Source organism: Homo sapiens, chromosome 3, assembly GCF_000001405.40.
Source record: "Homo sapiens chromosome 3, GRCh38.p14 Primary Assembly".
Lineage (NCBI taxonomy): Eukaryota > Metazoa > Chordata > Mammalia > Primates > Hominidae > Homo > Homo sapiens.
In genome coordinates this window covers 10,155,647-10,171,418 of record NC_000003.12, presented here as the reverse complement: position 1 = coordinate 10,171,418, position 15,772 = coordinate 10,155,647, and the positions used below count along the sequence as shown (strand labels likewise).

The 15,772-nt window shown below is 47.6% G+C and overlaps 1 protein-coding gene across 1 annotated transcript in view, besides 22 other annotated features; it reads right to left on the bottom strand.

Annotated features, from left to right (window-relative positions):
* The window catches only part of IRAK2 (interleukin 1 receptor associated kinase 2), a 78,827-nt gene extending 72,327 nt beyond the window's left edge, over positions 1–6,500 (bottom strand). The window contains exon 1 of the mRNA NM_001570.4: positions 6,371–6,500. Within this exon, the coding sequence (NP_001561.3) occupies positions 6,371–6,464 (94 nt within the window). The 5' untranslated portion in view covers positions 6,465–6,500. The remainder of the gene's footprint in view (positions 1–6,370) is intronic.
* Positions 1–10,887: part of a biological region, named in NCBI's record as "3p25 IRAK2 Alu-mediated recombination region", that runs on past the window's edge. NCBI's record gives its function as "recombination_partner: LOC107303337 | LOC107303338 | LOC107303339 | LOC107303340".
* Positions 628–10,887: a meiotic recombination region, noted in NCBI's record as "this region was identified as a recombination hotspot within the HapMap CEU population". NCBI's record gives the evidence for it as "EXISTENCE:nucleotide sequencing assay evidence [ECO:0000219][PMID:20981099]".
* Positions 863–878: a nucleotide motif, noted in NCBI's record as "nucleotide motif; similarity to the predicted 16-mer PRDM9 C-type binding motif, CCNCNNTNNNCNTNNC".
* Positions 924–10,152: a meiotic recombination region, noted in NCBI's record as "this region was identified as a recombination hotspot within the HapMap YRI population". NCBI's record gives the evidence for it as "EXISTENCE:nucleotide sequencing assay evidence [ECO:0000219][PMID:20981099]".
* Positions 1,922–2,432: an enhancer, noted in NCBI's record as "OCT4-NANOG hESC enhancer chr3:10210671-10211181 (GRCh37/hg19 assembly coordinates)". NCBI's record gives its function as "activates a minimal SCP1, AML or CMV promoter by ChIP-STARR-seq in primed H9 embryonic stem cells {active_cell/tissue: H9 hESC(primed)}" and the evidence as "EXISTENCE:reporter gene assay evidence [ECO:0000049][PMID:30033119]".
* Positions 3,705–4,004: a mobile genetic element, noted in NCBI's record as "direction; reverse".
* Positions 3,716–3,745: a non allelic homologous recombination region, noted in NCBI's record as "AluY recombination sub-region b, recombines with the AluY recombination sub-region b within the 3p25 BRK1 Alu-mediated recombination region". NCBI's record gives the evidence for it as "EXISTENCE:nucleotide sequencing assay evidence [ECO:0000219][PMID:19280651]".
* Positions 4,880–6,776: a meiotic recombination region, noted in NCBI's record as "meiotic double-strand break mapped by DNA meiotic recombinase 1 chromatin immunoprecipitation followed by single-stranded DNA enrichment and sequencing in the germ cells of some male individuals with the PRDM9 A/A and PRDM9 A/C genotypes". NCBI's record gives the evidence for it as "EXISTENCE:chromatin immunoprecipitation-seq evidence [ECO:0000229][PMID:25395542]".
* Positions 5,431–5,446: a nucleotide motif, noted in NCBI's record as "nucleotide motif; similarity to the predicted 16-mer PRDM9 C-type binding motif, CCNCNNTNNNCNTNNC".
* Positions 5,471–5,479: a non allelic homologous recombination region, noted in NCBI's record as "AluY recombination sub-region a, recombines with the AluYa5 recombination sub-region within the 3p25 VHL Alu-mediated recombination region". NCBI's record gives the evidence for it as "EXISTENCE:nucleotide sequencing assay evidence [ECO:0000219][PMID:19280651]".
* Positions 5,471–5,697: a mobile genetic element, noted in NCBI's record as "direction; reverse".
* Positions 6,110–6,122: a nucleotide motif, noted in NCBI's record as "nucleotide motif; similarity to the predicted 13-mer PRDM9 A binding motif (LD hotspot motif), CCNCCNTNNCCNC".
* Positions 6,186–6,335: a silencer, noted in NCBI's record as "silent region_14056". NCBI's record gives its function as "represses an Ori minimal core promoter by ATAC-STARR-seq in GM12878 lymphoblastoid cells {active_cell/tissue: GM12878}" and the evidence as "EXISTENCE:reporter gene assay evidence [ECO:0000049][PMID:35858748]".
* Positions 6,536–6,665: a silencer, noted in NCBI's record as "silent region_14055". NCBI's record gives its function as "represses an Ori minimal core promoter by ATAC-STARR-seq in GM12878 lymphoblastoid cells {active_cell/tissue: GM12878}" and the evidence as "EXISTENCE:reporter gene assay evidence [ECO:0000049][PMID:35858748]".
* Positions 7,923–7,935: a nucleotide motif, noted in NCBI's record as "nucleotide motif; similarity to the predicted 13-mer PRDM9 A binding motif (LD hotspot motif), CCNCCNTNNCCNC".
* Positions 11,067–11,377: a mobile genetic element, noted in NCBI's record as "direction; reverse".
* Positions 11,067–15,772: part of a biological region, named in NCBI's record as "3p25 von Hippel-Lindau tumor suppressor, E3 ubiquitin protein ligase Alu-mediated recombination region", that runs on past the window's edge. NCBI's record gives its function as "recombination_partner: LOC107303339 | LOC107303341".
* Positions 11,096–11,111: a non allelic homologous recombination region, noted in NCBI's record as "AluSz recombination sub-region b, recombines with the AluSg recombination sub-region within this recombination region". NCBI's record gives the evidence for it as "EXISTENCE:nucleotide sequencing assay evidence [ECO:0000219][PMID:19280651]".
* Positions 12,970–13,281: a mobile genetic element, noted in NCBI's record as "direction; reverse".
* Positions 13,098–13,116: a non allelic homologous recombination region, noted in NCBI's record as "AluYk3 recombination sub-region, recombines with the AluJb recombination sub-region within the 3p25 BRK1 Alu-mediated recombination region". NCBI's record gives the evidence for it as "EXISTENCE:nucleotide sequencing assay evidence [ECO:0000219][PMID:19280651]".
* Positions 13,515–13,816: a mobile genetic element, noted in NCBI's record as "direction; reverse".
* Positions 13,616–13,622: a non allelic homologous recombination region, noted in NCBI's record as "AluSz recombination sub-region a, recombines with the AluSx recombination sub-region c within this recombination region". NCBI's record gives the evidence for it as "EXISTENCE:nucleotide sequencing assay evidence [ECO:0000219][PMID:19280651]".

Genomic DNA, 15,772 nt, shown 5'->3' with positions numbered 1-15,772 from the left:
GGAAAGCCCTAACTTGACCCTTTACAATAAGCTGAGTCTCCTAAGCCTCTCAGCAACACTGTGAGGGTGCTTCATGGATGAGGAAACTAAAGGCTCAGAGAGAGATAGTCACCTGCCTGATGTCACACAGCTGGGCAGGGCAAAGCAGGGCTGTGCACAAAGGCTGGCACACGCATGAGTGAACGAGACGGGGAACGGCCACACACAGAAGAGCCCCTGCGCCGAGCCCCTCTGCACACACCTGGGGCTGAAGCTGTAGGAAACCCTTTTTACACAGGCTCAGGCAAAGCCCAACAGAGGCAGCTGCCATCACGGAGACAAGAACTAGGCGTGGCCAGATTATCTGCCAACAAGTGTCGGATCTGAAAGAGCGTGGCTGTCTGTGGCTGCGGGATCTTCTGAATCACTTTAGCGTTCTCACTACACTCTCCCAGTATCACCATCAGCTCTGAGGGACTGTCTTCTTTCTAAAATGACCCACAGGAAGCCAAGAATTTTTAGGACTGAAGGGTCAATCACAGTCACTCGTTCATTCAGCTGAAGAGGGAACTGGAGCACTGGGACTGGGCGAGGAGCAGTGGGCCGGAGGCACCGCTGGCTCTGATCCAGTGTAGGAAGTGGGCTGACCAAAGGCTCCAGGCCAGCTCCAATGGGTAAGAGTGGGCAGCCCGCATCCTCACCACACCAAGGCCTGGCAGCTCATCATTCATTCTGGCACCTGCCCTCTAGCCAGGCACTGTCCCAGGCTCTGGGAATACAGCAGTGAAAAACTAGACAGGTAAGGCCCCTGCCCGCACGGGGCTTCCATTCCATAGGGAGAGACAGGTGGAAAAAATTCAGGAACGAGGGGACATCAAAGGCTGTGAAGCGGAATGAGGGAAATGAAACACGGTGATGGGCTAGAGAGGAACAGGGGCAGGAAAGTCCTCTTGATTTCAAAGAGGTGCCACAGGAGCTTACCTGAAGGACTGTGACAGACAGAATAATACCCTTGGAAAACATCCACATCCTAAGCCCCGAGACCTGTGAATATGGTACCTTACATAGCAAAAGGGACTTTGCAGGTTAGATTAAATCAAGGATTCTGAGATGAGATTATCCTGGATTCTCTGGGTCTGGCCAAGGTAATTACCAGGGTCCCTGTAAGGGGGAGGCCAGAACATCAGATTCAGAGATGAGGTGATGGTAGAAGCAGAAGTCACAGAGACAGATGTGATGATACACACCCATGGCCTTGATGATGGAGGAAGGGGCCATAAGCCACAGGATGCTGCAGGCCTCAGGAAGCCAGTCAAGGCCAGGAGACCGACTCCTCCCTAGAGCCACCCTGAGTTAGGACTTCTGACCTCCAGAATGCTGAGATAATAAACTTGAGGTGTTACAGGCCACCAACTTTGTAGTGTTGTGGGAAGTCAGGGGCCCCGAACAGGACCGGCTGAAGCCACGGCAGAAGAATACAACTTGTGAAGATTTCATGGACATTTATCAGTTCCCAAAATTAATACTTTTATAATTTCTTACGTCTGTCTTTACTGCAATCTCTGAACATAAATTGTGAAGATTTTATGGACATTTATACTCTTATAATTTCCTATGCCTGTCTTTAATCTCTTAATCCCATCATTTTCATAAGCTGAGGATGTATGTCACCTCAGGACCCTGTGATGATTGCATTAACTGTATAAATTGTTTGTAAAACGTGTGTTTGAAAAATATGAAATCTGATTGTAAAACGTGGGTGTTTAAACAATATGAAATCAGGGCACCCTGAAAAAGAACAGAATAACAGTGATGTTCAGGGAACAAGGGAAGATAACCATAAGGTCTGACTGCCTGTGGGGTCGGGCAGAATAGAGCCATATTTTTCTTCTCACAGAGAGCCTATAGATGGACGTGTGAGTAGGAGAAATATCGCTGAATTCTTTTCCCAGCAAGGAATATTAATAATTGATAACCCTGGGGAAGGAACGCATTCCCGGGGTAGGTCTATAAATGGCCACTCTGGGGGTGTCTGTCTGATGCAGTTGAGATAAGGGATGAAATATGCCCTGGTCTCCTGCAGTGCCCTCAGGCTTACTAGGATTGGGAAATTCCAGCCTGGTGAATTCTAGTCAGACGGGTTGTCTGCTCTCCAACCCTGTTTCCTGTTAAGATGTTTATCAAGACAATGCGTGCCCAGTGGGACATGGACCTTCACCAGTAATTCTAATTTCACCTTTGCCTTGTGATCTTTTATTGCCCTTTGAAGAATGTGATCTCTGGGACCTACTCCCTATTCGTACACCCCTCCCCTTTTGAAATCCCTAATAAAAACTCGCTGGTTTTGTGGCTCGGGGTCACCATCACGGTCCTACCAATGTGTAACAGCACCCCCAGAGGCCTAGATGTAAAATTTCTCTCTTTGTACTCTTTATTTCTCAGACCGGCCGACACTTAGGGAAAATAGAAAAGAACCTACATTGAAATACTGCGGGCTGGTTCCCCTGATATTGTAGTAATCTATAACTGCAACAGGAGGAAACTAATAGACTAGAAAGCTAGCCCCAGGTAACACAGGGGGAAGAACGTCCCAGGCAGAGGGAACAGCACCTGCAAAGACCCTGTGTCTGGCCCAGGGAGGTCAGTGTGGCTGGAGCAGGGGAGTGACAGTGGGTGTGGAAGAAGAGGAGGTCAGAGAGGCCAGCACTGGGCAGATGTGTCAGAGTCAACATGCCTGGCAAGGTGTTCAGATCATATCCATCCCAGTGGGGAGCCTCGCAGAGGTATTCTCCAAAGAAGATGTGCAAATGGCCAACAAGCACAGGAAAAGATGCTCCACAGCATTAGTCATTAGGGAAATGCAAATCAAACCACAGTAAGATGCCACTTCACACTGGCTCAGGTGGCTACCATCAAAAAAGCAACAATAAGGCCGGACATGGTGCTCACACCTGTAATCCCAGCACTTTGGGAGGCCGAGGCGGGCAGATCACCTGAGGTTAGGAGTTTGAGACCAGCCTGGCCAACACGGTGAAACCCTGTCTCTACTGAAGATACAAAAATTAGTCAGGCACGGTGGTGCATGCCTGTAATCCCAGCTACTTGGGAGGCTGAGGCACAAGAATCGCTTGAACCCAGGAGGCTAAGGTTGCAGCGAGCCGAGATCATGCCACTGCACTCCAGCCTCAGCGACAGAGCGAGACTCTGTCTCAAAAAAAAAAAAATTAAAAAAAGAAAAAAATAACACATGTTGACAAGGATGTGGAGAAATGGTCATCCTCATACACTGGTGGTTCAGCCACTTTAGAAAACATCTGGTAGCTCCTCAAATAGTTAAACATAAAGCCAGATGCAGTGGCTCACACCTGTAATCCCAGCAATTTGGGAAGGTGAGATGGGCAGATCGCTTGAGCTCCAGAGTTCAAGATCAGCCTGAGTAACATGGTGAAACCTGTCTCTACAAAAAATACAAAAGTTAGCTGGGTGCAGCAGTGCACACCTGTAGTCCAGCTACTCAGGAGACAGGAAGATCGCTTGAGCCCAGGAAGTTGGGGCTGCGGTGAGCTACATTTGCACCACTGCACAAAATCTTGTATGTGAGTGTTCACAGCAGCACTATTCACAATGGCCCAAAAGTGAAAAGAACCCAATGCCCAACAACTGATAAATGAATGAAATGTAGTATATCCATACCATGGAACATTATCCTACAATAAAAAGAAACTGGCTGGGCGCGGTGGCTCACGCCTGTAATCCCAGCACTTTGGGAAGCCGAGGTAGGTGGATTACACGGTCAGGAGATCAAGACCATCCTGGCTAACACAGTGAAACCCCATCTCTACTAAAAATACAAAAAAATTAGCCGGGCATGGTGGCAGGCACCTGTAGTCCAAGCTGCTAGGGAGGCTGAAGCAGGAGAATGGCATGAACCCAGGAGGTGGAGCTTGCAGTGAGCCGAGATTGCGCCACTGCACTCCAGCCTGGGTGACAAAGCGAGACTCCGTCTCAAAAAAAAAAAAAAGAAACTAAGTATTGACGCATGCTACAACATGGATGAACCTCATGTTAGTTGAAACAAGTCAGTCACAGAGCACTATATATTATATGATTCCATTTATATGAAATGTCCAAAATAGGCAATGTCTAAAACTCAGGAAAATGGAAGGAGGGGATTGGAAGTTAACGGGTACAGAGTTTCTTCTTCGGGTGATTAAAATGTTCTAAGATTGATTGTGAAGATGGATACACAGCCCTGTGAATATACTAAATACCACTAAATTGTACTCCTGAAACAGGTGGATTGTATGGTATGTGAATATCTCAGTAAAGCTTTATTTTTTTTTTAAGTCATAGGTATGCCTTCTAATTGAATTTCCTAGAAACAGAAGTTGTTCTGGCATTTGTAACTGAGGGCTGGGCCAATGTGGAAAAAATGAGAGGGAGTCTCACACAAAGTTTGTTCACTGCCCAGGAAACATTCAAAGTAGTGAAGCCAGGTCCAGGAGCAGTGGCTCACGCCTGTAATCCCAGCACTTTGGGAGGCCAAAGCGGCCAAATCACATGAGGTCAGGAGTTCGAGACCAGCCTGGCCAACATGGCGAAACCCCATCTCTACTAAAAACATAAAAATTAGTGGGCGTGGTGGCACATGCCTGTAATCCCAGCTACTCGGGAGGCTGAGGCAAGAGAATCACTTGAATCCAAGAGGCGGAAGCTGCAGTGAGCCGAGATCTCGCCACTGCATTCCAGCCTGGGCCACAGAATGAGACTGTCTCAAAAAAATAAAAATGAAAAGAGAATATTACAACTTATGACTTATAAGAATATTTAACACTTAGGTGTCAGTGCTTTTATACAGTATTTTCATTCCTCACAACTTTATGAAGAAGCTATAATTATCATCTCCAGTTTACATACAGATTCAGAAGCTGAGGCTCAGAGAGGTTAACAAACTGGCCCAAAGTCATACAGCAAGAGCCTGGAATGCAGATCTCCACCTGGAAAGCAGAGACAACAGGCAAGCGGCCTCCCCGCAGAGTCCATGGCCCTCTCCGCCAGTCATCCGTCAGGCACCAACAAACAAAACATATGGAGGCTGTCTGAGTGCCTTCCCACGGAATTATCTAGAACTGTGCACCTTGCAATAGAGTGAAAGTAAGTGCTTGTGCTTAGGCCCCATTATACACACTGAATCTATTAGGACACATCTGATCTCAAAACAGGTTGATAGTCATAAATACTGTGATCAAAACAATGTACACTAAAAGTAAATATCTGATTTTAAAACTATAATGGTAAAGTACATTTAATCACAAATATGATAAATAGGCTGGGCACAGTGGCTCACGCCTGTAATCCCAGCACTTTGGGAGGCCGAAGCAGGTGGATCGCCTGAGATCAAGAGTTCCGGAGGCCGGGCGCGGTGGCTCATGCCTGTAATCCCAGCACTTTGGGAGGCCCAGGGTGGGCGGATCACAAGGTCAGGAGATCCAGACCATCCTGGCTAACACGGTGAAACCCCGTCTCTACTAAGAATACAAAGTTAGCCGGGCGTGGTGGCGGGCGCCTGTAGTCCCAGCTACTCAGAAGGCTGAGGCAGGAGAATGGCGTGAACCCGGGAGGCGGAGCTTGCAACGAGCCTAGATCGCGCCACTGCACTCCAGCCTGGGCGACAGAGTGAGACTCCGTCTTAAAAAAAAAAAAAAAAAAAAAAAAAAATAGTTCAAGACCAGTCTGGCCAACATGGTGAAACCCGGTCTCTACTGAAAATACAAAAAATTAGCCAGGGTGGTAGCGGGCGCCTGTAATCCCAGCTACTCGGGAGGCCGAGGCAGGAAAATCGCTTGAATCCCAGAGGTGGAGGTTGCAGTGAGCCGAGACCGTGCCATTGCACTCCAGCCTGGGCAACAACAGCGAAACTCCGTTTCAATATATATATATATGTTAAATCATAGATCCTTCTAATATACACTAAAACTAAACACACCACACACACACACACACACACCCCCCCAAGAAGTGACAGCACCGTGGGTCCCTACAGGGTCGAGGCTCGCACTTTGCAGGCTGTTGTGGGCTGGATGAGAGGCCACCTGGGGACGTCACCGAGCCAGCAGCGCTGACAGGAGGGCCCCCGTACCCACCGTTCTCTGGACTCAGAGCGCAGTGGCGGCGGCCCCTGCTCGTCGACAGACGTCCTCAGAGACCACGCGGCACCTTCAGGTGACAGGCCGAGGTCCGCGGCGGACCCGGTCCAGGAGGCTCAGCTCGCACGCCCTCGGATCGGGACCCGCTGAACCCGGGTGCCCGAGGGAGCTTGGCGGCCGCTCCAGGCGGGATCGCTGGGGGCTCCGGTCGCCCTGGTCCCCTCCCCTCCCCGGGCCGCACTCACCGAACTCCATCCAGTCCCACTCGCTGAGCGCGTCCATGTTGCGGCACAGGTCGTCCAGCACCCAGGAGGGCAGCTGGTAGATGTAGCAGGCCATGGCACGCTACGGGGCCGGCTCCGGCGCGGGACGACTGGGTCGGACACTGCGGGCTGCGGCTTCTCTAGCCAGGGGCGGACCGGCGGGGAAGTGGGCGGGGCGGGAGGGCACCAGCGTCCCCAGCGGCCACGGGCGGCACGACGGCCCCGCCGGCTCCACCCCAGCGCCGGCCAGAGAATCGGAACTGCGAGGGGAAACTGAGGCCCTGGTGGGAGAAGGCCACACGGGAATTCTGCCGCAGCGGCAGGAGGCCTTCTGACCCCACTTCCATCGGCACTACACCATGCATCATGCGCTCATCAAATACTCCATTAATTACCTACTGTATGCCAGGCAACTCCCTAGGTGTTGGTAATACCTGAATAAGAAACCCTACAGCCGGGCGCGGTGGATCACTCCTGTAATCCCAGTACTTTGGGAGGCCGAGGCGGACGGATCACGAGGTCAGGAGTTCGAGACTAGCCTGGCCAATATGGTGAAACCCCGTCACTACTAAAAATACAAAAATTAGCCGGGCACGGTGGCGCACGCCTGTAGTCCCAGCTACCTGGGAGGCTGAGGCAGAAGAATCGCTTGAACCCTGGAGGCGGAGGTTGCAGTAAGCCCAGATTGTGCCCTTGTACTCCAGCCTGGGTGAAGAGTGAGGCTCTGTCTCAAAAAAAAAAAAAAAAAAAAAAAAAAGCCTACAAAAGCCCTTGCTTTCATAAGACTTACAATCTAGGTGTGGAGAGAAAGACTAACAATAAATAATAAATATAGTATGTTACAGAGTGTCTTAAAGGTAATAAGCACTATTGCAAAAAAAAAAAAAAAGGAAAAAAAGTTGGTTAAAGGGAATCAGGAATTCAGATTGAGCATGGGGAATATTCTATTAAATAGGGTAGTCAGGTAGACTTTACTATAGTAGCTAATATGTATCGTGCAGCTACTATGTGCCAGGCACTGTTGTAGGTGCTGGGAATACCTCTGAAGAGAAGGACAAAATCCTTGTCCTGGAGGGAGACAGACAACAAGCAATAAAAATAGGCAGATAAGCTATGTTGGAGAATGAAAGTAGAAGCCTGGGCAACATAGGAAGATCTTATCTCTACAAAAAACTTTTTTTTTTTGAGACGGAGTCTTGCTCTGTAGCCCAGGCTGGAGTGCAGTGGCGCAATCTTGGCTCACTGCAGCCTCTGCCTCCCAGGTCCCGGTTCAAGCAATTCTCCTGCCTCAGTCTCCCGAGTAGCTGGGATTACAGGCACGCGCCACCACGCCCAGCTAATTTTTGTATTTTTAGTAGAGACAGGGTTTCACTGTGTTGGCCAGGATGGTCTTGAACTCCTGACCTCGTGATCCGCCTGCCTCGGCCTCCCAAAGTGCTAGGATTACAGGCATGAGCCACCACGCCTGGCCTCTACAAAAAATTTTAAAATGAGCCAAGCATGGTAGTGTACACCTATAGTCCCAGCTACTCAGGAGGCTAAGGTGGTAGGATCTCTTGAACCCAGGAGTTTGAGGCTGCAGTGAGCTATGACTGCACTGCAGCCTGAGTGACAGAATGAGACCCTGTCTCTGAAAAAAAAAAAAAAAAAAAGAAAGAAAAGAAAGAATAAAAGTAGAGGGTGGTAAAAGGGAGTGCAAGTGGCCAATTGCATTATCTTAGATGATACTATTACTGGGAAAAAAGCAGAGTATGGTGCAGGGGACTGCAGGACAAACTGGATTATTAAATAGGGTATAAGGGGCTGGGTGCGGCGGCTCCCACCTATAACCCCAGCACTTTGGGAGGCAGAGGCAGGCAGATCGCTTGAGCCCAGGAATTCGAGACCAGCCTGGGAAACAGAGCAAGACCCTGTCTCTACAAAAATTAGCCAGGCATGGTGGCATGTGCCTGTAGTCCCAGGTACTTGGGAGGCTAAGGTAGGGGGATCACTTGAGCCCAGGAGGTGGAGATTGCAGTGAGCCAAGATTGCACCACTGCACTCCAGCCTGGGTGAGAGTGAGACCCTGTCTCTAAATAAACAAAGAGGGTACAAGGAACAGAATTTATAGTGTGTGTATACATATATATATATATATATATATATATATATATATATAAAATACACACACACATATATAAAATAGCTAGTATTTATTGAGCACTTACTATGTGTAGCCTTCACCTGGGTTACTTTACTTACTCCTTACAATGACCCTCTGAGGTAGGTATGGTTATAGCCCCATTCTACAAATAAGGAAACTAAGGCACAGAGAGGTTAAATAATATGGCTAAAATCATTTGAACCTAAGTATTCTGACCCCAGGCTCTCCATCACCACTGGCTAAAGTATATTGTAGATACAGATACATTTATCTGTATCTACAATGTACTTTGCAAAAATGATCTTATGTCATTCTTACAAGCCTATACTATAGATATTATTATCCCCATTTTACACAGAAGTAAATAGATTCCAAGAGGTTAGGCGAGGTCACGAAGGGCAGATAAGTAACTAGAGTAGGTACCACTGTATAGCTGTGGCCGTCAGCTATGGAGTAGCGCTGCAAAAGGAGGAAGCTGAAATCAAAGTGAGAAGTCCTAGGGCCAAGTTGCAGTTCTGCCACCAACAGGCTTTGTGACTCTGGACAACTCATTTCATTCGTCAAGCCTTGTTTCCAGCATCTGTAAAGTGGGCCTGCTCCTTCCTACTGCTTAGAGTTGTGAGGGGAGTGGAATAAATCAAATTATGTAGCCTATATAGAACACCTACTACAGGGCTTTCCTCGCACAGAGAATGTGCCCAAAAAATGGTAGCTGTCATTAGTGGTCTTGAAAAGGCACCCACTGGCCTTGGAGTCCTATCAAGTTTGGAGACCTGGTTCAGCCACTCTCCGGCTCTTAGTCCTTTGAGCCAGTTCTGTTTTCCCTTTTGGAAACTGGATCTCCTGCTGCAGCCACTTGGAAGGATTGTTATGAAGCCTAAATGGACTCCAAAACGCTCAAGATCAACTGTGAAGTGCTGAGCCCAGTAAAGGATTACTATTATGTCCTCCTTGATGTTGAAAGTGGGACATATTTCAGTGTTCTGAGACTACTTTTCAAGTGAAGTCCTGTGTTTTCAGCAGTGGCTGAAGGTGGACTTGGGAACTGTAATGATTGTTTGCCATAGGCTGGGTGGAGAAGCATCTCCATCCCAGGCACACGGGGGTAAAAGAGAATAAAGATCCTCTTCTTTTTCTCCTTTTCTCTTTTTGCAGAGTCCCCTACCTGCTTCTCCTTCTCTTCCGCAAGCAGCGTGTGTGTAGAGCTCCTCCCTCAGTGCCACAGGGCCTCTTCCCTGGGGTGAGGCTTTAAGACCACGGAAGTTTCACATTCAGCCTTGGTCAATCCTGGAAGGCAGAGGAGCCCCCACTGCTCTCTCTGCTGCATCCTCAGGCCCTTCCCGCAATTCCTTCTCACCCCAGCCTCAGGGCTTGGGATCTGTGTCCTAGGATTCTGTCTTCCAGAGAAGCTTGAGTCATTTTGGGCCTGAGCAGGTCATCACAGGGACACATCTCAGTTACCACTCTTTAGAATAAGTTCTTCAAAGTAAGGTCTTTGCTATTACTAATGGTTGCCCTTCACCTACCAACTCACCTAGCAGGCATTTAGCATACATTATCTGTAATCCATACAACCCTGCAAAGGTTTATTGTTTCTGTTTTACAGATGAAGAAACTGAGGCTGAAGTCAATTGTAACTGGGCCAAGTTGGCCAAGTGACAGTGAGGTAGGGGGCAGCACTCGACTCGAAAGGAATGGCTGGGACATCGGACCAAATTGAGGACTAGCTAAAACAGGTGTGGTGGGAAGTACCTCGCATAAGACACTGCCACCAGTGTACCTTGTCAGTTTACCATTGCCATGGCGACTCCAAGAAGTCACCGCCCCTTTCTAGAATGTTCTGCATAAACTGCCCCTTAATTTGCATATAATTAAAAGTGTGTATAAATGTGACTGTAGAACTGCCTCTGAGCCACTACTCTGGGCACACTGCCTATGGAGTAGCCCTACCCTGCAAGGAGCAGTACCTCTGCTGCGGCTGCACACTGCTATTTCAATAAAAGGTGCTATTTAACACCACTGGCTGGCCCTGGAATTCCTTTCTGGGTGAAGCTAAGAACCCTCCCAGGCTAAACCCCAATTTGGGGGCTTGCCTGTCCCGCATCAACAGGATGCAACTCAAGTCTGACCCAAAGCAAATGCTCTTTCTGCTGTGTTATACTGCCTCACCACAAGAAATTTCCTCTGATCTTGCAGTTAATTTCTTCCTCTGGCTATTTTCCATGACCAACACCCACCAGGATCAGTTAGAAACAGTTATTGAGGCTGAATGTAATTAATTACACACTTACGTCATTTTGAGCTGTTCAAGTTTAATTCCCTTGAAATTATAGTCAGTGGTTTGCAACCCTGGCTGCACAGTAGAAACATCTGGGGTGCTTTTAAAAAGTATAAATGCCTAGCCCTACCTCCAGGGAGACAGATTCAATTATTCTGGAGTGGGGCTCAGGCACTACTGTTTTTTAAAGCTTCCCAGATAATTCTAATATGTGCTGGCACAGTTGAGAACCAGTCATATCAGAAAGCTGGGGCAGAGGCCAAGCATGGTGGCTCATGCCTGCAATCCCAGCACTTTGGGAGACCGAGGTGGGTGGATCACTTGAGGTCAGGAGTTCGAGACCAGCCCAACCAACACGGCGGAACCCCGTTTCTACTAAAAATACAAAAAAATTCGCTGGGCGTGATGGCACGCACCTGTAATCCCAGCTACTTGGGAGGCTGAGGCAGGAGAATCATTTGAACCCGGGAGGTGGAGACTGCACTGAGCCAAGATCATACCACTGCACTCCAGACTGGGGGACACAGTGAGACTCCATATCAAAAAAAAAAAAAAAAAAAAAAAAAAAGCTGGAGCAGGAGGGAAGACTGATGAAAGGAGAATAATAAAGCTTCTCTATGCACTTTGCATATATTTTTCTTTTTTTTTCTCTCTTTTTGAGACGGAGTTTTGCTCTTGTTGCCCAGGCTGGAGTGCACTGGTGTGATCTTGGCTAACCGCAACCCCTGCCTCCTGGGTTCAAGCAATTCTCCTGCCTCAGCCTCCTGAGTAGCTGGGGTTACAGGCATGTGCCACCACACCCAGCTAATTTTGTATTTTGAGTAGATACGAGGTTTCTCCATGTTGGTCAGGCTGGTCTCAAACTCCTGACCTCAGGTGATCCACCCACCTCGGCCTCCCAAAGTGCTGGGATTACAGGCATGAGCCACCGCGCCCGGCTATATTTTTTTTTAACAAAAATATCTTTATTGGTTTCTCTGATAGCATGTGATATTTGTCAAAGACAGAAAGAAAGAGAAAACAAACACCTTCCCATAACCTCATCCCTGAGGAATCACCATTATTGTTTGGAGTATATACTCCTTTTACATGTTTTTAGTCCTATACAAAATGATTTTTTTTTTTTTTTGAGAAGGAGTCTCACTCTGTCACCAGGCTGGAGTGCAGTGGCGAAATCTCGGCTCACTGCAACCTCCGCCTACCGGGTTCAAGTGATTCTCCTGCCTTAGCCTCCCAGGTAGCTGGGACTACAGGCGCATGCCACCACACCTGGCTAGTTTTTTGTATTTTTAGTAGAGACGGGGTTTCACCACGTTGGCCAGGATGGTCTTGATCTCTTGACCTCGTGATCTGCCCACCTCGGACTTCCGAAGTGCTGAGATTACAGGCGTGAACCACCGTGACTGGCCAATTTTTTAAACATATTTTCTTTTTTGCAGACACTATGGTGAAAAAAAAATTTTTTTAACATTTAATTTTCTGTTTTTTTTTCAATTAATAGCTTTTCCTGTCATTATATGAGCATAGTACTATTTCCCTTTTAATGGCTTATTTAGGAACACCATACTATATGTGCCCAAACTCCTATCAGTATACTTTTATTTCCAGTATTATGCTATTCTAAATAATACTGCAGCAAACTTCATATACATACATCTATTCACACTTGTTTTTTCTTTCTTAAGGTAAATTCCTAAAACTAGATTTTCTGGAGCAAAGATGAACATCTAAAATTGTGATGGGCTGGGTGCCATGGCTCATTCCTGTAATCCAAACACTTTGGAAGGCCAAGGAGAGAGGACTGCCTGAGCCCAGGAGCCCAGCCTGGACAACATAGTGAGACCCCATCTCTGTTAAAAAATGGCTGCGTGTAGTGGCTCACACCTGTAATCCCAGCATTTTGGGAGGCCGAGGCAGGCGAATCACCTGAGATCAGGAGTTCAAGACCAGCCTGACCAACATGGAGAAATCCTATCTCTACTAAAAATACAAAATTAGCTGGGCGTGGTGGCGCATGCCTGTAATCCCAGCTACTCGGGAGGCTGAGGTAGGAGAATCACTTGAACCCAGAGGCGGAGGTTGCAGTGAGCCAAGATCCTGCCATTGTACTCCAGCTTGGGCGACAAGAGCAACACTCTGTCTCAAAAAAAAAGAAAAGGAGGCCGGGCGCGGTGGCTCACGCCTGTAATCCCAGCACTTTGGGAGGCAGAGGCGGGCGGATCACGAGGTCAGGAGATCGAGACCATCCTGGCTAACACGATGAAACCCCGTCTCTACTAAAAAATACAAAAAAATTAGCCGGGCGTGGTGGCGGGCGCCTGTAGTCCCAGCTACTCGGGAGGCTGAAGCAGGAGAATGGCGTGAATCCAGGAGGTGGGGCTTGCAGTGAGCCCAGATAGCGCCACTGCACTCCAGCCTGGGTGACAAAGTGAGACGCTGTCTCAAAAAAAAAAAAAAAAAGAAAGAAAGAAAGAAAAAAAAAAAGAAAAAAGGCAAAAAAAAGCACAAACAAAAAAACAGAAACAAACAAAAAAAATTTTAAGAAAAACAAACATAAGGCCAGGTGTGGTGGTGCATGCCTATCTATAATCTCAGCACTTTGGGAGGCCAAGGCGGGAGGACTGCCTGAGCCCAGGTGTTCAAGAGCAGCCTGGGCAACATGACAAGACCCTGTCTCTATTATAATTTAAAAAATAAAAATTTCAGCCAGGTGTGGTGGCTCATGCCTGTAATCCCAGCACTTTGTGAGGCCAAGGCGAGCAGATCACTTGAAGTCAGGAGTTCGAGACCAGCCGGCCAACATGGTGAAACCCTGTCTCTACGAAAAATATTAAAAATTAGACAGGCATGGTGGCGTGCACCTGTAATCCCAGCTACTCAGGAGGCTGAGGCAGGAGAATTGCTTGAACCCAGGAGGTGGAGGTTGCAGTGAGCTAACGCCACTGCACTCCAGCCTCAGCAACACAATGAGATTCTCTCTCAAGAAAAAAATTAAAAAAAAAAAAAAGTGGCTACTCTTTCTCTCTCAGAAAGATGAGTAAACCTCTATCCTATCCTATTCTTTTTACCTTTTTTTTTTTTTTTTTTTTGGTAGAGACGGAGGTCTCACTATGTTGCCAAGGCTGGTCTCAAACTCTCCTCCAGTGATTCTCTAGCCTCAGCCTCCCAAAGCGCTGATATTGCAGGTGTGAGCCACAGCGCCTGGCCCCCTATCCTTTTTAATGGCTTATTTAGGAGTGCCATACTTAATTTGGGCAATCTCCCATACATGTACATTTATTTCCAATACTGGAGTCTGTTCCAGAGGGATCTGCTTTCTGCATCTATCAGGGGGGTGGAAATCCTGGAGGCTGCCAAGTATAAACGAGTATTTGGAAAACAGCTGCCCCAGAGGCACACTAGACCTTCTCAAAATCCTCCCTACTGCTTGGAGTTGCTCCACGCCAGGGTAATCCAGACCTGCTGGAACAGCCCTGATACGGTTTGGCTGTGTCCCCCCCAGATCTCATCTTGAATTGTAATCCCCATATATCATGGGAGGGTTTAATCAAATCATGGGAGGTAATTTTCCCCAGGCTGTTCTCATGATGGTGACAGAGTTTTCTTTTTTTTTTTTTTTTTTGAGACGGAGTCTTACTCTATCGCCCAGGCTGGAGTGCAGTGGCACAACCTTGGCTCACTGCAAGCTCCGCCTCCCAGGTTCAAATAATTCTCTGCCTCAGTCTCCCGAGTAGCTGGGATTACAGGCACCCGCCACCACGCCTGGCTAATTTTTGTATTTTTAGTAGAGACAGGGTTTCACCACCTTGGCCAGGCTGGTCGTGAACTCCTGACCTTGTGATCCACCCACCTCGGCCTCCCAAAGTGCTGGGACTACAGGCGTGAGCCACCACGTCTGGCCAATGGTGACAGAGTTTTCATGAGATCTAATGGTTTTATAAGCATCTGCCATTTCCCCTGCTGGCATTCATTCTCTCTCCTGCTGCCCTGTGAAGAGGTGCCTTCCACCATGATTGTTAAGTTTCCTGAGGCCTCCCCAGCTGTGAGCAACTGTGTCAATTAAACCTCTTTTCTTTATTAATTACACAGTCTTGGGTATTCCTTCATAACAGCATGAGAACAGACTAATACGAGCCCTTACCACAGTTCCTATCAGAGGTTTCTGAGCATGGAATAGCTACAACAAGAGTTCTCAAAATTCTTGGGTTGGGCCTAGGTAATGAACACCCTCCTACAAGGGAAGATCCATCAACTCATGTCACTCCCCATCAAGCAAATTGCTAAACTGTCCTTTGCCCAATTAAGTCTCCTCCAACTTATGTTAAGATGAAATGGTTCAACAGGACTTCCCCCAAGCCTTTCAGTAACCTCAGCTCTGTTATCAGCATCTGTGGGGCCAGCTCCAGGCCCCCAGGATTCAACTTTTCCCAATTGGAACGAAACAATCTTTCGTGTTTTTCCTTCTGACAGACAGGGAGAGAGATTACTGCCATTAGTTTGTATGTCAAACAGACTTATATTTTCCTGCGGTTTCATGTTTTGAATTTTGAAATAAGTTTTGTGGGTTTTTCTCCCTCTCATACATTGAGTGCTACTGCCCAATCCTTCTCATGACCATAATACGTGTACCTCAATTTTCTGTGACCTGCCAATGGACTACTGGGTATGTGTGGTAAGGGGTGGGGACAAGAAAATGTTTTGTTGGGGCAGGCAGTTTAGGTGTGCCGAAAGAAAGGGGAACAAGTTGAATGTCCCTCATTGGAAATGCTTGGGACCAGAGGTGTTTCCAATTTCAGATTTTTTTGTATTTTGGAATATGTGCATATATATGAGGTATCTTGAGGATGGGACCCAAGTCTAAAGGCGAAATTCATTTACCTTTCTGTTTCAGAAAAACTGTTTTTCCTCTAGATTCCACACTAACACAATACCAACCCAGAACACTTTCGTGTCCAAATGTGTA